At 34.9% G+C, this 26,312-nt stretch overlaps 1 protein-coding gene across 15 annotated transcripts in view; it reads right to left on the minus strand.

Moving 5' to 3' along the window:
• The window catches only part of ITGB3BP (integrin subunit beta 3 binding protein), an 88,418-nt gene continuing 62,434 nt past the window's right edge, over positions 329-26,312 (minus strand). For 4 of the 15 annotated variants that reach the window (XM_024446042.2, XM_024446041.2, XM_017000853.3 and 1 more), the window contains 4 exons: positions 14,449-14,527; positions 13,939-14,032; positions 13,477-13,533; positions 9,017-11,623 (listed from right to left, as the gene is read on the minus strand). In XM_024446042.2, the coding sequence (XP_024301810.1) occupies positions 11,547-11,623; positions 13,477-13,533; positions 13,939-14,032; positions 14,449-14,527 (307 nt within the window). In that variant the 3' untranslated portion in view covers positions 9,017-11,546. Of the gene's footprint in view, positions 663-6,358; positions 6,416-7,123; positions 7,174-9,016; positions 11,624-13,476; positions 13,534-13,938; positions 14,033-14,448; positions 14,528-17,435; positions 17,933-26,312 lie in introns of those variants that run through there. The other 11 variants (NM_001347148.2, NM_014288.5, NM_001206739.2 and 8 more) reach the window with 6 other exon arrangements.

Below are 26,312 nucleotides of genomic sequence, written 5' to 3' on the forward strand. Positions count from 1 at the left end.
TTTCTTTAAATTCAGTACTCTTTGTAGTTTAGTTCAAAAAAAACTTCATATTTTAAACATTTGTACTGAAAAAATACACTCTAATATTTTATAAATGGTGTAAAATTTTAAAACCTTGAAAATGTTTTTTTCTCTATAAGCATAGGAAAATAAAAACTCACTCCTGAGATAGAGGCTACACAATAGACTAGATAAATCTTTAAAAAAATTTCTACAGAATCTATAAATTAATAAGCAGCTGGGGCTTTAAATGGGAAAACTGGTACTTAATTCCACTCATCATTACATTTAATCTGAATTTCAGAAAAACACAGAGTTCTACCAAAGGTGCCACTTTTATACATGCTTTATTAAGTCTACCCACAAATGCTAAAAGTCCACAGAAGTGTATGTGGTACAGAATATAAGTCAAGATCTTCCTCTCCATGTTGGCTTACATTAAAGAGCCAAGAAGAAATGTATTATTTACATTGAGATTATCTACTGGTGCGTGTAGAAAGTTTAAATTAGCTGCAAGAAATTTTATCTAGACATGCACCTGCCAACTGCTACGAGCTGGTATTTACTGGGCAGATTAATTACAAATATTTCTCTGTTCCTTTAAATATGATCAGGCAGATGCAGAAGTTGGTGCTCATGGTGAGTGCATTTCTTCTTAATGCCTGTGAGATATAAAAGATAATTATATTATCAAGAATTAGTTAACATGCACGTCATACATGACTTAAGAAGTGATTTTAACACCTAATAACAATCTAGTTTGGTACCTAGTTTAGTTAGATGCTGCTGGCAACCTCTCATTTGCTTTTTTCTTTTGAGACGGAGTCTCACTCTCCCCCAGGCTGGAGTGGAGTGGCATGGTCTCGGCTGACTGCAACCTCTGCCTCCCGTGTTCAAGTGATTCTCCTGCCTCAGTCTCCTGAGTAGCTGGGACTACAGGTGTGTGCCACCACACCCAGCTAATTTTTGTATTTTTAGTAGAGACGGGGTTTCACTATGTTGGCCAGGCTGGTCTTGAACTCCTGACCTCGTGATCTGCCCACCTCGGCCTCCCAGAGTGCTGCGATTACAGGCATGAGCCACTGTGCCCGGCCTTATTTGCTTTTTGATTATCTTCACTAGTAACTGTCAATATGACTACTCTGACATAGCACTCAGTATTCTTTACCTTATGTGACCATACTTACATGAGATACTTCTCAGAGAATTTTAAAACTCCAACAGGGCCTACAGAAAACTTATTTACATGCCTTTGTCTATAAGCCTTAGGGGCCTTTCAGCAGGTGTTTCCTCCAACAGCTGCCCCCCGCCCAAAAGACAGTATTTACTATGACAGATTCCTATTCAGAATATGTCCCTCTGGGGACTCCTAGTGGTGGTAGAGGCTCATGTCTCTTCAGCCTTAGAATCCTTCTGTGAGAGAAAGCCCTTGAAGGAAGCAGCCTTTGGCAACTAATGGCATACATTACCACAGGGCATGTGGGAAGAGATCTTTAAAAATGACCTAATAAGGCTGGGGGTGGTGGCTCATGCCTGTACTCCTAGGCCAAGGCAGAGGGACTGCTTGAGCCCAGGAGGTCAAGGATGCAGTGAGCTATGATTGCACCATTGCAGTCCAGCCAGGGCGACAGAACGAGACCCTGTCTTTAAAAAACAAAAACAAACAAACAGATAATCCCATCCTGAGGTGATCTGTCTGCTGTGAATTCCCATAACACTGCTTATTCTTCATTTGGTACTTACAGTAGAGAATAATACTTCTCAGTCTGAAGGGGAAGAAACTTCTGTCAACTCTTCCTCTGTACTCCATGGAAGTGTGACAAATTTGATTGGCCAAAGTCCAGAACATTCATTGGTCTACATTTTACTAGTAACATTACACAAATTCTTCCCTCCTTGTAGTTTCCCTATCACTGTCTACTCTCAATCCCAGTGGACCTTTTTTATTATAATACTTCCTAATTTCATGTAGTAGGGAGACCAACCCATTCTATTGTGCTGACCTGCAGTCAAGCATGTAAAAGGCAGGCTTGTGGTCTTCACAGCATTAACAGTCACACGGACTTGGGGGTCTATTTAAAAGATCCAGCTTTTAGGTTCAGTAAAGTGCACAGAATTCAAGATTTAAACTTAGTGTGAGAAAGAAGAGGTTGCATTTCTGCTTTAAGGCAATCTACCTTAGTTACCCCAAGCTTCTACTAGAGAGCCTGCCATGTTGGGGGTTATCAATTCCACCACCAATCAAGTTGATACTTTGATCCTCATTGGATGCACAATCCTTGTTTGTACTTGTTATTGGCCAGAACTTAGAAGAGTCTGAACTTGTATCATTTATCATAACTTGCCTTATATTTTGTGTCCTTATTAGGTTTCAAACTGTCATAATACACAGCGCTTTGTTCATACTAAGCCTCATCCTTGTGTTACCCAAGTGATTCATCCACATTGTTACTAAAGTATCCCAATATCCCGTTATCATTAGCCAAAATGTTTTTCTCTTCCCATCTTTTGATGGTCTTAGCACTCTGGCTGTGGCCTCTGGGTTGCTGTCACCCTTACTTTCTCTCTTATTCTAGCATTGTTTCACAAAGGCTTCACTTTTTAAAGGCTCTGGGAGTGAATCTGTATGGGACAGTCCTCCCCACTGAACAATTACAGGTCAAGAGGAATAATCACTGAAGTGTGACAGAGGGCTGGAGCAGTTGTGCAGGTAGGGAAGTTGGCCACGGTGATATCAGGAGTACTGTCAGGTTTCTAGGGCATAAGGACAAAATCAGGAGTTTCATTCACATCCTCCCTTACGCATACCAGTCAGGCAGCTATGACAAATATACAAAAGAGCAATGAGAGAATATGGGGGAGAGGGATTTGGGGAAGCTTATGCAGAAGATGAGTTCTAAGCAGGTTTTGAAAGACGGGTAAAATTTTGACAATAATGAGGGAAAAGGCATGCTAGGTTGAGCAGACAAGACCCAAGGTAAGGACATGAGAAAGGCACTTTCTGGGGAAGGTGTCTGAGAAATGGCAAGTAATCTGGAATGAATAAGGCACAATGAAGAAACTGGAAAGGTAAGCTGTGGGCAGATCAGGGAGACTCCTGAATGTCAGTTTAAATTTGGATTTTATCATACATATGGTAGAGTGATACCTTCTAAAGCATACATTTGTCCAGTAGCAGGATAGGCTGTAGGGGAAAGGGACCAAAGTGCAGACAGGTAGGTTACAATAGGGACAATGATAATCTGGAAGAGAGGTAATGGAGAAATAAACTGGTACAGTGGGTGTGGAAAGGAGAATTAAGCATTCTCAGAAGTAATATAATCTGGCAGCGTTTGGATGTGGGGACAAAGAGAGAGAGAATTTGACCAATGGAATGATATAATCCCTAGAAAGGTAGAAGAAAAACATCTTTGGAGGGGAAATGATGAAATCAGTATACTTGGGGGACATTGTATGGCAGCTGAGATTGTGGGTTTATAGCCCAGGAGACTATAATAATTTGGAAACCATATACACTAAAGTGAAAAGTCAGGGAACGAAGGAGATAATGAAGGAAATGCTCAAAGTGAGATGAAAACATGGTGAAAGGCAGAACTGAGGGAAATGCCTCAAAGGTGAAGTCACTTAATTTCACTGTCATTGCTCTTTTGCTTCTCACTGAAAGGGAAGTTGACTGGTAGCTCAACCTTAATTCTTTCCAGTTTCTTGAAAGTATTACTCAAAGACTCAAAAGAACACCCCAAAATGTGGTTATCTTTACTAAAATCCATTAACACAAAGCTATTCTCAGTACTCTGAATTCCCTGTAAGTTTATTACAGAGATTATCAAACACTAAATGTTGCACGTTCATTTACTAAATGTGTAACTGTGACGATGTATCTATGATCACCACCTAATATGTTCTCTGTTGGATTTTCATGGGTCAGAAATTTTGTAAAATGGTAACCTTATAATGAATGAATATAAGTGTATGTGGATGGATATATATAAGATATATATATCCTATATATATATTACATATAGGATATATATATTACATATAGGATATATATATTACATATAGGATATATATGTATATATGTACATATATGTAGGATATTACATATAGGACATATATAATCTATTACATAATAGGATATATATATATCTCCTATTACAATATATATATATCTCCTATTACATATAGGAGATATATATATATCTCCTATTACAATATATATATATCTCCTATTACATATAGGATTTATAAGGATAATATTTATATATTATCCTTACTTAACAGGATATAAAAACCTTGGCCAGTAGTGAAACCTGACATTCACAGATTACTACTGGGTGGTGGCAAGAGCACAGGCACTGGCACCAGACTACTCAGTTTAGTATCCTGGCCCTGTTTTAGGTGATTCTGGGACAAGGTACTTAACCTCGTTTGTGCCTCAATTGCCTTACCTATAAAATAAAAGTAATAACTGTATTTGCCTCATACGTTGTTGTGAAGATTAAATGGGATACGTATAAAGTGTTTATAACACTGCTGGCACATAGAAATTACTCAATAGGGCTGGGCACGGTGGCTCATTCCTGTAATTGCAGCACTTTGGGAGGCCGAGGCAGGCAGATCACTTGAGGTTAGGAGTTCAAGACCAGCCTGGCCAACATGGTGAAACCCCATGTCTAATAAAAATACAAACAATCAGCCGGGCATGGTGGTGCTCAACTGTAATCCCAGCTACTCGGGAGGCTGGGGCAGGAGAATCACTTGAATACAGGAGGTGGAGGTTTCAGTGAGCCGAGATCGTGCCACTGCACTCCAGCCTGAGTGACAGAGCAAGACTCCATTTCAAAAAACAAACAAAACAACAGAAAGTACTCAATAAATATTAGCTATTATTATAAGCTATTACTCACTGCAAACAACAGAATATAAGCTATTGTTACTACATACAACAGAATAAACGTTTTCATAAAAAACGGACACAATTTTCTATATAAGATGCTTTGCAAATATTAAGACTAGCTTGTCAGGAAGCTAATATTAATCACTTGAGATACCATTTCCAAAGAAAAGTATCTTGGAGGTAGAATATAATTCTTTAATTGTGCTTTGATTTTTTTTCCCCTAAGAGATAGCAGGCAAAACACCTGGTAAGCTAAGAATTCTTTTTTTTTTTTTTGGAGACAGGGTCTCGCTCTGTCACCCAGGCTGAGTGCAGTGATCATGGCTGACTACAGCCTCTACCACGTGGGCTCAAGTGATCCTCCCAACTCAGCCTCCTAAGTAGCTGGGACTACAGACATGCGCCACCATACCCAGCTTATTTTTCTATTTTTTTGTAGAGACATGGTCTGTCACTGTGTTGCCTAGGCTGGTCCTGGGCTCAAGCGATCCTCTCACCTTGGCCTCTCACAGTGCTGGGATTACAGGCATGAATCACCATGCCTAGCCCCTAATGCCAGTTTTTGTTGTTGTTTTTTCCTGAGACAGAGTTTCACTCAGTCGCCCAGGCTGGAGTGCAGTGGCGTGATCTCAGCTCACTGCAACCTCTGCCTCCTGGGTTCAAGCGATTCTCCTGCCTCAGCCTCCTGAGTAGCTGGGATTCAGGCGCAAGCTAGCCGGCTAATTTTTTGTATTTTTAGTAGAGACGGGGTTTCACCATGTTGGCCAGGCTGGTCTCGAACTCCTGACCTCGAGTGGTCCACCTGCCTCAGCCTCCCAAAGTGCTGGGATTACAGGCGTGAGCCACCATGCCCAGCCAATGTCAGTTCTTAATGTGAACCTTCAGTTATAGGTATACTAAACACTAATATATCATGACTCATATTGCTTTTGGCTTATTTGTTATAATAAGCTATTTATAAACACATCATTTTTACTTGTATTGCTGAATCAATAGGAATTGTTCTGAAGGCAAGGTATAACTAATAAATATAGATTTATTTACTTAATTTAGCACATTTCCAAATTTAACAGACTAGTTATATCTTGTTCAGTCAGATGTGTCCTACAGAAACTATAGTCCACTTGTCAGCATCTATTTAGCTAGTCTATTTAGCTATTTATATGAAAGATGCTTGATTAAGGACCCTTTTACACTCAGTTAAAAATGTGTCCTCTCTGACTTTTAAAGTTAGCGTCGTCAGCTCAACAGTTCTTTCCAATCAGCCTCTAACTGATGTCAGATGCCCTCCTGTTGTTGATAAGACTAGATTAATATAAGTTCAACTAAAGCTCCAAAGCTATATCCCTATTTTCTTACAGGAAGACAATACCAAATCTGATAATGTAAATAAAATGTTTCCACCTGAACAAAACACAGTGAAATTTCACAAGGTTAAACTAAATTAGAAAGGTGAAACAGTACCTCAGTTTAAAATGGCTTTAAGGAATTCATAGCTGTCAAGATGACGTGATGCTATATGAAAGAAGAAAGGTTTTTTTTTTCAGAAAACAATTCAAAGCAACTTGCCACAGTATATGATGCAGAATAAATGTTGAAGCAAAATGAAATTAAAACAACCTGAAGTCTTGTTTTATACTAATAGCAGCTCTAAGGCTATAAATTCTCATTTCAACATGCTATAGTTAGCCTGATTCTATTTCAGAATATACATTTTCAAATTTATTACGAAAACTTCCAAGACATTTATTACAATACATGCTTATTACCATTGTTAGTACACTCTTTATGGTTACTAAAATGACTGTCATTTGTGCTAGATTCTATATCCCTGAGGGCAGGACTATGTCTGCCTTGTTTGTCAGTGTGTTCCCAATGCTAGAATAATGCCTGGAGCATGGTAGGCACTCAATAAACATTAATGAGGTAAGAAAATAGCAATTTATAAGTATTTGAAAATACTTAGATAATTCTTTAAAAAAAGTTCTTTTCATTCATCACACATTGGCTGTACTGCATGTGGAACTTCTTTCCAGGCTCTATCCAGGCACTGTGCTAGGCTCTGGAACTATCATACATAGATAAGACTTTTTGTTTGTCTGCCAAAGAGGAGCCCAGAAAGAGTCCTGTAACCAGGCAATTACAATGCACTACAACATGATACATTTAAAATATTCAGACAAGTGTTGTGGGAGCCTCAAAGATGAAGCAATTTAGCTTTACCTAGGAGAGCTGGGGAGAGCTTCACAGAGGTTGTGACATCTGAGGCTGACCTTAAAGGATGAGCAGGAGTTTGTAAGACAGAGAAAAAAGCAATCATTAAAAAGTCAGGAAACAACAGGTGCTGGAGAGGATGTGGAGAAATAGGAACACTTTTACACTGTTGGTGGGACTGTAAACTAGTTCAACCATTGTGGAAGTCAGTGTGGCGATTCCTCAGGGATCTAGAACTAGAAATACCATTTGACCCAGCCATCCCATTACTGGGTATATACCCAAAGGACTATAAATCATGCTGCTATAAAGACACATGCACACGTATGTTTATTGCGGCACTATTCACAATAGCAAAGACTTGGAACCAACCCAAAAGTCCAACAATGATAGACTGGATTAAGAAAATGTGGCACATATACACCATGGAATACTATGAAGCCATAAAAAATGGTGAGTTCATGTCCTTTGTAGGGACATGGACGAAATTGGAAATCATCATTCTCAGTAAACTATTGCAAGGACAAAAAACCAAACACCGCATGTTCTCACTCATAGGTGGGAATTGAACAATGAGAACACATGGACACAGGAAGGGGAACATCACACTCTGGGGACTGTTGTGGGGTGGGGGGAGGGGGGAGGGATAGCATTAGGAGATATACCTAATGCTAAATGACGAGTTAATGGGTGCAGCACACCAGCATGGCACATGTATACATATGTAACTAACCTGCACATTGTGCACATGTACCCTAAAACTTAAAGTATAATAAAAAATAAAAAAAAAAAAGCAATCTAGGCAGAGGGAAAGGTAGCAAAGTGTTCTGGGGTCCTGAAAGAGAGGTTCCAGAGGGCTGAAGCACTTGGTGTGAATAGTATGAATAAAAATGACTACCCTCCTCTTATCTGAGGTCTGAACTGGAGGAAAAATCACCTAATATTTAATAATTACCAAGTCCTGCTTTTAACTATATAACTAGTTATATAATACTATAAACATTTGCTTTATTGTGTTTAAAATATGTAAACCACTTAGATAATTTATCTAACTCTTTTTTTGTGGGGCTTTTTTGACTACTCTGAGAGTAAAAAATGGGAAAAAAAAGTTCACCTGTCAGGTGACACAAAACCAATTTCTACTAAATGTGCCAGAATAATTTTTCTCCACCTCAAGAATAGTCTTCAGTCTATTCATTACTGTCTTTTTACAGTATTTTTATTTAATAAAACCTATTAAGACTACCATACAAATCTCTTTACTTATGCTTTTATCTTTTAACTGATCAATTTTTATATTGCTGACATCCCTTCTTCACCGTTTGCTCATTTAAAAATTCATAGTATGTGAGATATGTCTCTGGGGAAAATGTCTATAAAATTTGTTACAGCTGGCAAATGTGTATGAGTCAGTGATAGCACATGACTAAATGCTTCACAGAAAATAAAATTTGTTTCTGTAGTAAGCAGAACTGTTTAAATGTTATTTATTTTTATGTTTCAAAGAAAATATATTGTGAAGTGCTGCACTGATTTAATACGCAACAATGTCTGTGTACACGCTGTAGAAGGAAAATTTATGAAACCTTTGCACAACTCCTTTAATTGAATTTTCCAAATCTCTCACCACACACAAATAATCAATATCTTCTGCAGAGAAAACCAGTCAGAATTATTACAGTCTTTCTTTTCAATTTTGTTGTCATCAGCACATACTGAGCACCTGGATATTTGTAATGTCTGATAGCAAGTTATTTACACCTCTTAAACACCTAATTGCTATTAAGTGAGTCCAAATCTATAGTTTAAAATTTTTTCTACTGATTTTATTTGAAAGAAAAATTATCATACTTCTGTTAAAGTATAAAAAATTTAAATCATGAAAGAAATTATTTAAAAGGCTTTGAAAAGTAATAAATCAGTTTATTTTTACTTAAATCCTAGACAAATCTCAAGTAAGCATTTTTAGCAGCTGAAATGCATACCCCAAAACAATGACGAATCGTGTAAAACAAGAGCATTAACATTATTAATAGGAAAGGTTATGATTCACATATGGCATACATGATAGCTGAATCATTATAAAGAGCTGAGGACTATAGTTGTACATTAATGTATATTTGTGCTATCAAAATTAATGGCTTCATTTTTTATCTCCAGATAAACCCAGAATGTTAAAGCATAGGGGGAATTTCTGTTGTTTCTCCTAAAAGTCGTCACGTCTAAACTTCAAACCTCAGTGCTTTTAAAATTGAAGTATCTGTTTGAAAAAAATATATTGTTTAATGTTAAGATAAAATAGAAAACTAAAAGGGTAGTAGTCTTCTGGGAGTGAAATTATTCAGCTGATATGATGAATACTTTTTCAAGCCTGAGTTGGGGAAAGAACAACATATTTTTATGTTTAAAAAATACTTCAGTGGGTGGTTAGAATGAAGAGGCAATATCAAACTATTTTATAGTGTTAGAACAGAAAGAGTTTTAAATTTGTCCTGTTGTCTAAGAATCTGATAACTTTAAAATCTATAACCAAGACGAATTTTACTATGTAAGAATACAGAAAGTTAACTAAAGAATACAGGAACATTGTAGTTTATGCTTTTTAAAACAGACCAAAGTTGGAAATTCTGAAATATTTTCTATTACAAACAGCTGAAACACTGAACAATGTAAAGTTCAGATGGTTCCATTTCATTTAAAATATGCATACTGCAACCTACACAATTATTCTCAAAACAGATAAAATATGTTTTGGACTGAAGCTAAGTGTCTAGATTTCATATCTTGGCAACTGCTCTACAATTTGCTTACATTCTTTTCAAAAACATTTTGTTTATTGGAAGTACTAGTCATAGACTAACGATGGTATTTTTAATTATCTTCAGAAAAAACTGAAAATATTAACTACTATATAATGCCATCTATTGACTAAGGAATATCTGTAACAAGTTGTTTTAAGTAGAGGTTGATTATGTAAAGTAAATAAATTTCATGCCTCACCATGTGATGATAATGTGACATTTCATCTGTATCAGCCCACTGAATGGTCATATGTCTTAAGTCTTCAGCATAACAAATTTAAAATAATTATGAAAATTCACATCCAAATCTTACAGAAAAAGAACCTTTCATTTCATTATTTTCCTAATAGTCATAAAGCCAGTGTTATTGAAGAAAGCAAAATTAGGCTTATTTCCTAAGTAACTGAAGAAAGAAAGAAGCCTTCCTTTGTTTAAGAAATCTGTGTTTAGCAGAGGAGATCCTCTTTTATTCATATACTCTCATCAAGGCATCCCCTGATTTACCAGGTCCAGTTCTTATGACACTATGAAAATCTCAGTGTGCCTTTTAATTTTATTGTGTATGTTTTAAATTTCTCTTGAATAAGTTATATAAAGCCTTAAGAATGTGTGTCAGATGTCTATTTATTTAAAACACTAGAGTGTTATTTTTATAATTCTACTCTTCCTGTAATAAAGACTGTAACTGACATTAACTGAAATTCCCACTGAAATGAAAAAATAAATATTACTAGAACTAAAAGACCAATTAGAAGAGGCAATGATAGCATAAATATTGAAATTCTCATGGTATTGTCTATTTTAACTATTCCAGGAAAATTTTTTAAGAATCTGAAAGACCAAAAAACAAACAAACAAAAAAACCCACCAAAAACCCAGAAGAATCTGAAGGACATTCTTTTGATAGTGAAACAAGTAATTGGCTTATTCTAATTTTCATAATTACCTTAACAAATCCTATACATATTATAGGGATGATTTTTATTTTACTTATTTTCTAATATTATGACAAACTCCCAAAACATTTTAAAATTTAAACAATTCTGTGTAATAGCATAATAAAAATAAATAAATAAAAGAAAGTGGAAATTTCAAGGCCAGATTGCAAAATGAGGGACATATAAAGCAAACTAGTTTGAGATGTCAAAAGAATTAGCAAAATCCTCTTAAAATGAATATGAGCAGAAAAGGGTAAAAGTTGTTAGCTTAGTACAAAAAATTTGCATGTGTGTGCACATTTGTGTGTACATAATCATTAACCAAAAAACAAAACAAACAAAAAACCCCCAAAACTAATATGTATGTTAGGAACCAGAGAAAGAGGTAGGAAAAGCACTCAGGAAAACTATATAGCTCAAAATCAAATTACAACAAAAATAAGCTTTAATCTATTTTTTAGGCAATATGAATTTCCCAAAATTAGTTAAAAAGCTAATGAAGTTTTTAATACCTCAGGAAATATAAAGAGCTAATGTAGCTCCTGCCAAGAAACAGAATTGGACAATGACTACGTAGAATAGAATATAACACACAGTAGTATATAACATACTTATATAGATACTATGTATTATATATTTTTTAAACTGAGTTTTCATTTAAATCAATGATTATTAGAAATTTACAAACATGGTTTAGTGATAACAGTCTCCTCTATGCAGGAACTCGGTCCTTTGGGAAAATCTGGTAATGGGCAAGTCAGCCTTAATGCCTAAAATAATAGAAAACAGTTTTAAGGCTGATCATGCATAAACACACAATGAAGTTATGTATTTTAGATGTCCATAAGGAAATGAAAAAAGTTTCCCCTGGAAGGAAAAATATTTTAATGAAATATAAATTAAAAAAATTTTTCTTTATATTATTAGCATTGACAGTTCACTTATTTATTCCAGAGTTTTCCTCTTCCTTATTTCTCAAAGCTGTTTGCAAAGGCCAACTATATTAAGCCTAATTCTAGTTAGTTCTAGGAAGTTACAGATTTTTAAGGAAATCACACTATTGGTGTAGAATATATAGAAGCAAGATTTCTTCCAGTTGGGAAATAATAAACACTTTGCTTTCCTATTGTGATCCTCTAAAACTTGTCAACTTAGGAGAGATTGAAACCACTGAAACCCAGTTACACATTCTAATCAAATTACACAACTAAAGTAACAGACAAGAGGCCAGGCGTGTTGGCTTATGCCTGTAATCCCACTTCACTAATCATCACTTCAGTCTGGGTGACAGGGTACAATCCTGCCTCTAAATTTTTCTTTTTTCTTTTTCTTTTCTTTCTTTTTTTTTTTTTTAAAAGATCCCAAGCCACATCCAAGAAAAAGCCACCTTTCATGTTCTTAAATTCTTGGCATCACAGTAGACGTTAGTTGTTCAACTGAAAAGCTCAGGAAGCCTATTCAGCTCCCTTCCCACATGAGCTTTGGAGGAGTCTTGCCATGGCTGCAGCCCTGCCATGACCCAGCTGGCCTTTAGATCTGACTGGCTGGCAATCCCAGCACTTTCCATTGCCAACCGATCACTGGCTTATTAAAGGTTCTAAACCCAGGCTAACATACCAGATTGGGTGAAGCAGTTTCAATTATGTGCCATGTTTGAATCTAAAAGCTAAGATGATTGGATGATTTCATTTGTTTTAGGAAGAGATAACACAGAATAATGAAAAGACCAGAGTTTTTGAGGCCAGACTGGTCTTTGGTTGGAATCCTTGCTCTGTTACCTAAGTAGAAGTCTTGGGCAAGTTACTTAATATTTTTTGTGTCTTCGTTCCTTGTCTATAATGACAATGATAATACAGTGTAGCTATCTTTCCACATTGCTGTAAAGATTTGCTGATCCTAGTATTCAGAATATTTGTAATTATAGTTACTCAATAAATGGCAGTCATCGGTATTTAAAAGTGGTAGGCTGAAAACACGGCCACCCATTTTAAGGCCTAATTCCACTTGCAGAAATTGCTAAATGGCATTCATGTAGGTACTATTAATCACTCCTGTATTAGTCTAAAGGTTTTGCTATTTTACAGTTCATGATTACTTTGCTTATTGAGGTGTGAAGGTGTGAATGTGTACTTCCTATGGAAACCTAAAAACTGTTTATTTAGTTTTCCATACTGTGAAATGCTCAGACATAAGAGTTCATAGTAGAACAAAGCATATTAATGATCTGAAAGTTTCCAGAATACTAGTTAGAAAGTAACTTTCAATGCTTCTAGTGCAACACTAAAAACTGCAGTATATTAATGCATTGTTGCTCCTATTTGTATTCTCAAAAAGAAATTTTAATAAAAAGACAAAATTCAAATCTTATGTTGAAGATTGCATTTCAAAAGACATTTAAAAAGTTCAATCATCAGAGAAGTTGATCTCATCAGATATCATCTTCTGCTAAATGCAATATAAAGCTTTTCAAATGAGATTTGTGATCTTCTAAAAGAACATACTTCAGAACAGGGATCTCTGAGGAAAAAAGAAAACCACTAAAAAGGATTCATGATGATTAGTTTTAATTGGCAAAATGGGATGAAAGCATCTTTATGTAATAAACTAAAACACAACTACTTACCTTTGTGAGGAAGTCCTGTACTCTTTTCAAACAGTTTTTGTTTATTCACTTTTGTCACTAAAAGAAGTAAAAATCCCATGTCAAGAATTAACATAGAATATGGATAATTTCTCAATACTTGCAACAAACAACTTCATGAGAAAAAAATAATTCAAAATAATACATATTTATAAGTACCAAATATAAAATATAATACCTTATTATATATTATAAAAATGGGCATTACATTTGAAATGCCTACTACCAGTTTCCAAGGTGCATTCTTTTCATTCACATTCAAGAAGAATCCCCAAAATAACACATCCTGATAAAAGACATGTGGCTTCTTATTTAAAGAAGGTAATAGTATTTTTATCACATGTCCAGTAATGGTATATATAAAGAAGTCTATCAAATGTAAATGAGACAAATTAATAGGTTTATCTTTAAAATTACTGTCATTGAAAACTCAAAAATTCTTACTTAGTTCTTTGGTTTTCTGCATTTCTCTTTTTAAGAAATGTGATGCACAGGAGATTCCAATGAGATTTTCAAGCTCTCTACTGCCCTCCAAAGCCTACAAGAAAGTCATCTTGAATGAGTTAAGTTCTCTACACACATGAGATTACTGACATGTCTAGTGAAAATACAGTATATTGTTTCCTTCATTTGAAAAACTTAAACTTTATGTTAGGATATTTAACTGTTTCTGGCAGGCCAACTATTTCAAGCCCAAAAATGCCTGAAAAAAAACAATTTATAATTAACTAAAAAGACTAAATGTAATCTATAAATTTATGTTTAAATGTGAAAAGCAAGATATTACTAAAATATTATGGTTAAATAGTGTTCTCCTATTAAAAAAAAAATTCCCATGAAAAGTAAATTAAACATACTCTATGCAAACTCTTTCCTGGATTGGATTCTCCAATCTGGGACACTTCTTTCATTTTATCCTTTTCAAACAGGGTAGAAGTATGAAAAAATGCAAACCTGTATACTACTTAAATTTTGCATTATCTCCATGATTTCTTCTGACAATTTCTCAACTTTTGATAGCAACATCATGAATCTAGTAATAAAGAAAAAGACAATACTTAGCAAGGGGAAGCATTTAAACATGGCAAATCATTTTCAGAGCTTTAACTCTTTTTAAAGGACCTTAGACTTAGGTTCTTTCATTCTTTACAAACACAATATATATTATCAACTGTCCCCTCTTTTGGAGTTTTACTTTCCGATTCCCACTGAGCAGTGGGATGGAAGACATAGTTGGCTGTTCCTTTCTCCACAATGCCACATTGAGAACACTAATACACCACCATTCCTTCATTTACCTTGATCTGAGTCTATGAATCAGTATCACCTAGTAACTTCTTTTTAAAATAAAAAAAGTTTTATGACTTTATTTTAAATATGAAAATAAAGAAAAGGAAAAGAGGAAAACATCACTTGGAATTCAATCTTCTGAACATATCTCCAGTTAGCTTTTTGGAAAAATGCTTCTAGTTTAAAAAAAAAAATTGTGTAACTTTGTTATCATACTTTTTTTTTCCTTTTTATAAAGAAATGGGGTTTACCTCTGTTACCCAGGCTGAAGTGCAGTGGTGTGATCATGGCTCACTGCAGCCTCAACCTCCTGGGTTCAATCGATCCTCTTACCTTGGCCTCCCAAAGCACTGTGATTACAGGTGTGAGCCATGGTGTCTGGCTGTGCTTTCTTTACTTAATACAATATTATATACATTTTGGGGGGCCACATATTGAAGGCTGCACAATATTCTATTTAGTAAACATACTAAAAATGATTTAAACATTCCCTTATTGTTAAAATTTTAGTTGCTTTTCCAATTTTAAGACCCCACAGCTGTTTGTGATAATCTATATCAACACAGTCTGATAGAAAAATAATGTAAACCATATATGTAATTTAAAATTTTTAGTAGCCACACTAAAAGGAATAAAAAGGTAAATTTTCTTTAATAATTTTCATGTTTAAGTATTTTAAATCAATATATTCAAAATATTTCAACATATAATGAATATAAAAATTATTGAGATATTTTATACTTTTTTCAAATCCAGGTATACTTTACATATTAACAGCACATCTCATTTCATACTAGCCACATTTCAAGTGCTCATTAGCCATGTATGGCTAGTGCGTACTGTTTCAAACAGCATAAATCCATATAGATTTTATGAGAGAAACCAGAAATTCTATTTAAATGCTTTTTCAAGATTACATCAGTGTTAGTCATTGACATTTTTGTTATTAAAAATAAGACAAATATGTTAAAATTTTGATATACAATGTATATGTACAGTAAGTTTCAACTAAGTAAAATTTTATCTAAGTATGCGAACAAGAAACAAGAGACTTTTGATAGCATTATGAAAAAGCTAAAAATTATGAGGACAGTGGAATTTTGGGTGTTTTTTTTCTTTAAAAGTTTTCCTTTATTACGTATTTTCAATCAGAAGTCATCTGTCTGAGGCCCTGATTGCTTAACAGGAGAACCTCAGTTTGAGAGATGGTATCATAAAGGAATTCCTGCTTCTTCAAATTGGATCCAAAGACCTGAAGAAACAAGGACTTAAGGGACTCCCACCAAGGCTGGATCCTCTAGCTTCTCATATATGATGCCAAAGCCTACTGAGTGCCCTAGGAGTACAAAGTGGAGGCAAATAAGTTACTTTGCTACGAGAAATAATCTGAGGGGCTTGTTGCCTTATACCTTGCATCCCTTTCCTGGGAGAACTGGAATAGTAGAGCCTTTTCAAACTGTCTTACCCTATCTTAATGAGCTGATGGTACTCCCTGTTAACCCATAGGGAATTGTGTGGGAAGGATTAGGTCCCGCAGGACTGCCATCTTGAATGTCTCCAAGGGGCTCTGTTCACATAGAGTTAGATGTAAATGGTGCCCCCCAAAGTTGTATAATGTAGCATCCCCAAAGGACCTACTAGCAGCTCTCCTAAATTAAGATAGTAATTGAGGGGCTAAGCTAAAACAAACTGTTTTAACAATCTTGGAGACTTGTATGGATTAAATATCAATTATCTGGGGAAGTTGTTTTCAAAACATCTTTGATATGCTGAAGGTGCTTTCTCAAGGACACTTGTATCCATTGCAGGATCAAGTAGTAGGACTAGTAGACATGCCATTGCTCTTCTTATTACTATTTTGATTCCCTTTCCTCTCCTCCTCCTTTTCTTCTCCCTAGACGAAATCACCTTTTTCCCACCTTGAAGGCAACCAAATTCCCATGAATGGTTTTTTAAGTGTTATACAACTGTTAAATCCTGAAAAATTCTTTTTTTTCAAGGCATTCTTTTCCACACTTTCTGAATCACTGAAGAAGCCTTCATAATCTTTGGAGATAAACTATTTGCTGAGCAGATTTTGGGAGAAATAATTCTACCACTTTCTTCATCCTAGACAAAATGGAATTCTCATAAACATCCTACTTGTGCTGAAAAGTAGATATGCATTGCTACTGAGAGCCCTTTTCTGTATTTTCAATGCATGGTTCAAATTTCACTTTGTTGCCCTAACATAGCATTATGGTTTGCATACAGACCCTTGGTTTTTAATATCATCTTGATGTTCCTTTACTAATTTGTTTATTCCTGAAAACCAACGATCTTTCATTTCTTTCAAGCTGCCTGAAGAATATATTTCTCAAGTTCATTATGGTACAAAATTTCAAAGTTATTGTGGCTCTTTCAAGTTGGTGAGTAAAAGTATCATCATTGGGTGCCATTCATATTTTGCAGAATAGTATTTCTTTCTCAAATAGATTTGCCTCTCGCTAGACTAAATTGGACCAAATCCTTTATCTTATAATGACCCTTTGAGCCATCCAGATGTCAATGGGCCACTACATCCAGGTATCCAGTGACTGTTGCCAGTTTTACGGCATCCTTACAAGATTTAATCAAATCTGCATTGTGGTCAAAGACTACTGTAGCACAACCTAAGAAATCTGAAGTCTTGGTCCTCCTTGAATTAACCTTCTTTTTCATCGTAGAGTAAAAACCCAGCAGCATTTTTTTAAAGCATCTCGTAGTTTTTCTCTTGAGGGAGCTACATGTCAAAATTCAGGATTTTCAGTGCAGTTTTCCAATTTGCTTAGAAGAGTTGCATTGTGAAATTCAGAGTTCTCTCACATTCCTCAAAGAAAAAGTCTTTATTCTGAAAAACAACTGAAATTAGGTGCATCAGCCAAATAAAATCCATGAGAAGCATTGGATGTATCCATTAATTCTGCTTTTCCTTCCTTCTACATTAACTTCTTCAGTCTCAAGTCAGGTGTAACTTGACTTTCAAAACTATCATTCTGTACCAGTTCTGGGTTCTTCCTATCTTGGCCACTTTCAATTCTTTCAATTATTTTCCATTCTTAGCTTCAAATGTAGTTTCATCATTTACTTTTTCTCTATTAAGTTCCTCAGATGTATTCTGAGGAGAGAACTAAAAGAACAAAGAGAAATTGTATTAAATTGGTGCTTCTAATTCAGATTTATTGAAGCAGGTGTTAGCAAGCATTAACTCAGCTCCTGCTGTGCCATCCTAGATGTGAAAGAATGAGAAGCAAAGGAGTAGAGCAGATGAAAAAGGAACCCAGTGATTTATAGATTCCCTCGGATGCAAGCCATGGTATCTACTGTACTGTGTAGGCATTGTGGATATAGTGGAAGAAGAGTGAAACCCTGTAAAAGCCATGATAATGGCCTGAAAAAATTTTTGATTTCCCTCCTTTTTTGTAACTTCCAATTGTTTGACATAGGTCTCCCTTACCATATTGTAAGTTCCGTGAAGGCAAGGGCGGTATCTACCTTATTTACTGTTACAACCTGTGTTAACTAATAAAGTGCCTGCAGTTATGGGAGGGACCCAGTAACTATTTGATGGATCAATGAACAGAATAAAAAAGACCTGGTCCAGTGACCATCCATCCCTAGATTCAAGTGAAGTATGCCCATCCTGCAGTTTTCTCATTTTTTTACTTCCTTCTCATATTGTCTTATATATTTTCCATGATTCATCAGTTATATTGCTGACAAAGTTAATTAATTCAGTTCCCTAACTTTCCACCACATATGTCTTTCTCACATGTAACCCTGGATGTCCCTATTTGTTTTCATTGCTCCTAGTCTAAGCTGTCAGTACTATGGAAAAAAAAAAAAGTCTCACAGTAGAATTGACAGTCAATATTAGAAGTATGATTTTGCTGAGCACCCAATGCTGCTTAACTCTCCATGTACCTAATTTAATGAATCTTCTTTCACAAATTTCTGCTCAACATGACAGCCTAACCCAATCTCCACTTCCTCCATATTAAAATTAAACTCTTGTATTTAGATTTCTGCCTTAGTATTCTAATACAGCATTCTCAAAGGCCACAAATACACTACTAATTAATTCTATTACTAAAAGCTATTATCTGAAAGTTATTACCTCTAAGAAATTGTACTTTTATAAATCTCAAGACTTGTGCATTAAAATGTACATAACAGGGATGAATTCCTTAGGTTTTCTTTATCTTTACAATACTATGATTCACGCAGAAAAAGGTAAATAGGTCACTGAATCTCCATCTCCCTTGACCTAAACTGATAATTTTGGATGACAGTTGAATTATGAAAACAATGAAATATATTGTTAACATTTTTTTAATGCTTTCTTAGTTTAAGGCACTATACTTACTACTTTACAAACTATATCTTACTTAATTTTCAAAACAACTGTCTGTGGGAAATACTGTCTCCATTTTACAGCTATGAAAACTGAAGTACCAATAAATTATTTAATTATCCGGGTTTTATAACAAGGGGCACAGTCAGGACTTGAACCCAGGTGTGTTTGACCTATGTTCTCAACCATTATATAATATTTCCAAAAGTGTAATTCAGTTACAACTGGCATCAGAATTCCTTGGTAAATGGTTAAAAATACAAATTTCTGGGCTGCATCCAAGAACTACTAACAGAGAAGGTCAGAAATATGCATTTCCAGGCAATTCTTATGCACATAAAAATTAATTAAAAACATTTTTCCTGAAGACTGATCACAAAAAAATCTGGTCAATATAAATAAAATTGACATTCTTTGTCAAAAAAAAAAATTCCCCCCCGTGTTTAGCTCTATTTATTTCATTACATTTTTACAGGCTGTCTCAAGGAGCTTTTCTGCATTCCGTTCAGCTTAAAATTTTTTCTAAAAAAATTTCTTATTGTGATAAACTATATACAAGATTTGTCATTTTAAACATTTTTAAATGTACAATTCAGTGACATTAATTACATTCACAATGTTGTGCAACCATCACCACTATCTATTTCCAAAAGTTTTCTATTACTACAAACAGAAACTGTATAACCATTAAGCAGTAACTCTTCATGCTTCCCACCTCCAGCCTCTAGTAACCTTTAATCTCCTTTCTATCTCTTTGAATTAGTCTATTCTAGACATTGCATACAACTGGAATCTTACAGTATTTGTCCTTATGTGTCTGGCTTATTTCACTTAGCATAATGCTTTCAAGATTCTTCAATGTTGTAGCATGTATCAGAACTTCATTCCTTTTCATAAATAAATAATATTCCACTGCATGTACATACCACACTTTATCCATTCATTTGCTGATGAACATTTGGGTTGTTTCCTGTCTTTTGGTTATTGTGAATAATGATGGAATAAACATTGGTATATAAATATCTGAGTCACTGTTTTCATTTATTTTGGGCATATACCTAGGAGTGAAATTGCTTGGTCTTATGGTAATTATATGTTTAACTTTTTGAGAAAAGTGCCAGACTGTTTTCCACAGGAGCTACAATGTACAAGGGTTTTAATTTCTCTATATCCTTGCCAATATTTGTTATTTTCCATTTTTATTGTTTGTTTAAATAGACATCCTCGTAGATGTAAGGTTTAAGATGTAAGGTCTCACTGTGGTTTTGATTTGCATTCCTTTAATGACTAATGATATTTAATATATTTTCATGTGTTTATTGGCAATTTATATAAGTTCTTTCAAGAAATATCTACTCAAGGCCTGGCGCCGTGGCTCATGCCTGTAATCCCAGCACTTTGGGAGGCTGAGGTGGGCAGATCACGAGGTTAGGAGATCGAGACCACTCTGGCTAACATGGTGAAACCCCGTCTCTACTAAAACTACAAAAAAAAAAAAAAAAAAAAGTTAGCCAGGCATGGTGGCGGGTGCCTGTAGTCCCAGCTATTCAGCAGGCTGAGGCCGGAGAATGGCGTGAACCCGGGAGGCGGAGCTTGCAGTAAGCCAAGATTGCGCCACTGCACTCCAGCCTGGGCGACAGAGTGAGACTCCATCTCAAAAAAAAAAAAAAAAAAAAAAAAAATCTACTCAAGTCTTTGCCTATATTTAAAATTGGATTGTCTTTTTTCTTGTTGAGTTTTGGAAGCTCTTGATCTACTCTGGACCTTAAACCCTTATTAGATATATAATTTGAAAATATTTTCTCCCATTCTGTGCTTTGCCTTTTCACTTTCTTGATGGTGTACTTTGAAACACAAAAGCTTTTACTTTTGATAAAGTCAAATTTATTTTTTCTTTTGTTCATTGTGCTTTTGGTGTTGTTATATAAGAATCTATCAACAAATTCAAGGTCATGAAGATTTATCATTATGTTTTCCTCTAAGATAGTTATAAATGGTTTTAGCCCTTATATTTAGGTCACTGATCCATTTTGATTTAATTTTTACATATGCTGTGAGGTAGGAATCCAACTTCATTCTTTTTTGTAAGGAAATCCTGTTTCCCAGCAACATTTATTGAAGAGACTATTCTTTCTCCATTAAATAAACTTGGCCTCCTTGTCAAAAACCAACTGGCCATAGATGTATGCATTTGTTTTGGACCCCCAATTCTATTCCATTGGTCTCTATGGCTACTGTTAACGCCAGTGCCATACTGTTTTGATGACTGTAGCTTTGTAGTATGTTTTGAAATCAGGAAATATGAGTCTTCCAACTTTGTCCTTTTTCAAGATTGTTTGGCTATTTAGGGTCTCCTGTAGCTTCATATGAATTTAAGGACAGGTTTTTCCATTTCTGCAAAAAGTGCTGTTTAATCATTCTGCAAAAGAAATATAGGAATTACAGTGAATCTGTAGATTGCTTTGGGTAGTAGCATTAACATCTTAACAATATTAAATCTTCTTGCCCATGAATACAGAATATCTTTCCTTTTATTTAGATCTTCTTTAATTTCTTTCAAAAATGAATTGTAGTTTCTAGTGTACAAGTTTTTTACCTCTTTAGTTAAATTTATTCCTGTGTATTTTATCCTTTCAGATGCTACTGCAATGGACTGCTTCCTTAATTTCCTATTCAAATTCATTACAGGTATATGGAAACTGATTTTTGTGTGTTGATCTTATACCCTGAAACTTTTTTTGACTCTGTTTATTAGCTCTAGTAGCTTCTTGTGCACTCTTGGGATTTTCTCTATAGAGAATCATCTTGTCTTCAAATAAAGATTGTTTTACTTTTTCCCTTCCAATTTAAATGACTTTTATTTCTTTTTCTTATCTAATTGCTCTGGCTAGAATTTCCAATACAATGTTGAACACCAGTGGTGAAAGCAGGTGTCCTTGTTTTGCTCCTGATCTTTAGGGGAAAGCTTTCAGTCTTCCATATCTAAAATTTTAAACAGTTGAAAATAATTCTCTTTTTAAGATTGGCTTTCCTCTTAGCCTTTGCTCACCTACAGAATAGGCCTAATATGGAATATAGGCTTATATCTTCATCCTAAGATTCTGATAAACATTTTCAACTAACTTATCCCTAGAGACCATCATTTGAGCAGTTAAGAGGAATTTAGAATACTGACCAGTGGTTGTCACAATTAAATTGCATACATAATGCAAAACAAAACAACAAAAATTTTTAAAAAACCAGTTCTGGCATAACTCACTACTATTAAAAAGATTTTATTTGGGTTAGTGCAGAAATAACAAAAAATACACATCTAAAAAAGTTACTCTTCTGCCTGTAAGAGAGAATGAGCTAGTGACTAAAAATAAGTCCTAGGCTGGGCACAGTGGCTCATGCCTATAATCCCAGCACTTTGGAAGGCTGAGGTGGGTGGATCACCTGAGGTCAGGAGTTCAAGACCACCCTGGCCAACATGGTGAAACCCCGTCTCTACTAAAAACTAGCCAGGCATGGTGGTGGCGTGCACCTATAATCCCAGCTATCTGGGAGGCTGAGGCAGGAGAATCACTTGAACCCAGGTGGTGGAGGTTGCAGTGAGCCAAGATCATGCCATTGCACTCCAGCATGGGCAACAAGAGCGAAACTCTGTCTCAAAAAAAAAAAAAAAAAAAAAAGTCCTATACAACAGGTGGGATCCTCGCGGTGATGGAACTGTTCTGTAACATAACTACAGTGGTAGATACAAGAATCTACACGTGATAAAATTGCACAGAACTAAATACACACACACAAATGAGTTCATTGCAAAACAGGAAATATGAATAAGATCAGTGGATTGAGTCAATGTCAATTTCCTGGTTGTGATATTGTACTACAGTTTTGTAAGATGTTATGTTGGGAAACTAGGAAAACAATACACATGATGTCTCTGTTTTACTTCTCACAATGGCAAGTAAATCTACAATTATCTGAAAATAAAACTTACAGGACAGTCACCATTACTGCATTTTCATAGCAATGCCAGCTACAGCAGCAGCAAATTGCCAAGAGGAAGAAAAGCCAATCGCAGTAAATTATATATATTCCTTGCAAAACATAAAGGATATGGAAGTTCACATAAAATATTAACGTGTAGCTGTTTTTTTACAAATGGGCTTTATTGACATGCCATTAACTACTTGTTTTGTGAAGAAAAAAACATTTTTAAACCTAGAACATGGAACTGTATTTTCCTGTTGAGAGGATTCTTACATTTAAAATTCTCCAAATTGATCAATAGGAATTGATTTCAGGACGTATTCATCAGTAAAAAAGGCAAAGTGAAAAGAGTACATATGGTGTGCCACCTTATCTGTATAAAAAAATAAGAAAAAATAAATGAAACTGCTTAATTTTATGGAAATAAACATAGGAAAGGTAAATAAGAAACTAATGAATTTGGTTACCCACAAGAAATAGGTAGAAGGAATGAGGGAGGGATTAACACTACTCTGAGTATCCTTTTTTGGCAACAGTTTTGACTTTTAGAACCATAATGATGGCTTATCTCATTTTAAAAAGTCAAAAAGGATGAGAAAAAAGTAAAATTCACGAACAAGAAAACCTATTTCAAATGAATACTTCTTCAAATGAAGAACTAATCCAAATAATTTTTGAAAACAGTAATTTGACTATATATCTTTAGAGACAAAAAACTGCAAACAAATCTTGAATGCTTTGCAGGTTTGTTTTTAGCAGTGCTGTGAGCATGGGAATTCTGCAAGTATTTTGTGTATGATGTAGGATTAAGCAAATGTGCAAATTTATTGCTGCTCTTAGGAGACAGAGATTTAGATTTGAGATGGGATAGAAATATGGAAAAGGGGAAGTCAAGGAAAAACCTTGTATCACTATGAACAGATGAATTTTTAAATGGCCAACCAGCAGAAGGTCAACTAATAAATATAGATATGATGGAGTTAGAAAATTATGACTATGGCAATCATTACAGTAATAACTGACTCAGGCAAGAATCATCAATGTATGTTAAAACTACTGGGTGAAACATGACAAAGTACCTCCCCACAAAGTATTTATTAATTACAAAGGGAAAATGATTACTTTTAATATAGATAAACCTGGTGAACATCACTGTAATCAAATGATTAAAATTCATCAATAATAGGACAAAATATCTCTTGATGTAATTCAACATTCTTCTATATTTTTGCCCCAAAATACATAACATGAATAATGACAAAATATCAGGCAAACACAACTGAGGAATGACGTACAAAAAACAGTCTACACTATTTAAAAATATCACTGTCAGAGAAGACAATAAAAGGTTAAAAAAATTGTTCTAGATTGAAGGAAACTTTAAGAACTATTTATGTAATCTTGGATTGAATCCTGCATCAAGAGAAAAATTGCAATAAAGAACATTACTAGGAAAATTTGAATTTGGACTATACACTAGATAACAGTAATTATATCAATGTTAAATTTCCTGATTTTAATATTTTTACTATGGTTAAATAATATTATTCTTAGGAAATACACACTGAAGGATTTAGCAGTAAAAAAGGATGTCTGCAACTTCTCAAATATTCAGAAAAGTTTGAGTACCTATGTATGTGTGTGCACATGTGTGAAAGAGAGAATGAAAGTACATGTGACAAAATGTTAACAATTTGCGACTCTGGGGGAGTGTTCAGGAATTCTTTTTAATATTCTTGCAAATTTTCTGTAAATTTAAAATTATTTAAGAATCTAAAGTTTAAAAAATGTCTCTAAACTGTTAAAAGCTTACAAAAGGTATTTATAGATATTTTACCCGTGGGATTTTTTTCTTTTTTTTTTTCTTGATAGGGTATTTTTCTGTCTCCCAGGCTAGAGTGCAATCTGCTGCGCTGGAGTGATCCTCCCATCTCAGCTTCCTCAGTAGTGGGACTACAAGCATGTACCACCCAGGCTTGCTAATTAAAAAAAAAAATTTTGTAGAGATGGGATCTCCCTATGTTGCTCAGGCTTGAACTCCTGAACTCAGGTGATCTGCTTGACTTGACCTCCCAAAGTGCTGGGATTATAGGTGTGAGCCACCACATCCAGCCCCAGTGGGAAATTTTGTTTGCAGTTCTTAAGCATCTTTTCTCCATGAACTCTACTTCATAAATTTTGTGTTTTTAAGGGTCTCAAGATTTTTGTTTGAATAAACAAAACTATGTATTTGTAAAAATGATTTGAGTCATGTTTCTATTCAAATTCGTAGTTTTACTGCATTTAACATTTATTTTTTATTTATTTTAATTAAATTTTTTTTTTAAGATTGGAAACCATCAACTTGTATTGACACCAATTATGACTTTTCTCTGTAGCCTATAAGAGTGGACAGAGTGGGCTGACCCAAGATGTTTTTATCTGTAAGAATGACTAACAATGATGTACACACTTCTAAATAGCCAACTACTTTTTCCTCAAATGCAGCTGAAAGGATTCATAATGGTAACAAATTAGTGTTACAGATAGATATTTTAATATGTATCTACTATCCATCGCCTTCCATGGAGCCATGGCATTGATCCAGGAGCTTTCACCTTTTATGTGAACTTTGGTACTGTCAAGACAGAGACAATTTTGTTTACATTTACCCAGATACGTTTCATTCCTAAGAAAAGCCTCTTGGCAATACGTTTATTCAGTTCTGAGAAATGGTGACATTTTGGAAACTTCTCTCAGAAACAGCAGTCACACATGTGGAACACTGGATGAAACTACATATGACGACAACATACGGTTAGGACATCCTCCCCCGACCCTACACATTTCTAAAGGAAAACCCAATTTTAGAATTTTGTACTTGCCAAACTTAAAAAACCCAGTCACTTGAAAGTTAGCCAGCAGGGCATTGCCACCAACCCCAATAAAGCTGTACGTTTCATCACGTGCACCAGACATATCTACAAGGCTAGTTTCAGTATTCTTCTTTTAAAGAATTTATTTTAAACCTATTATACCACACAGCATGTTTCAAACACTGACATATAATTCCCTAATAAGATAAAACAAAGGCAAAAAGTTTTATCTTATTAGAAACAAGATACACCATCACTTATAGTCTTCAAATATCATTGCACTTTAACTTCCATAATTTGACAAAGCATTCATGAAACAAGCT

Source organism: Homo sapiens, chromosome 1 (genome assembly GCF_000001405.40).
Source record: "Homo sapiens chromosome 1, GRCh38.p14 Primary Assembly".
NCBI lineage: Eukaryota > Metazoa > Chordata > Mammalia > Primates > Hominidae > Homo > Homo sapiens.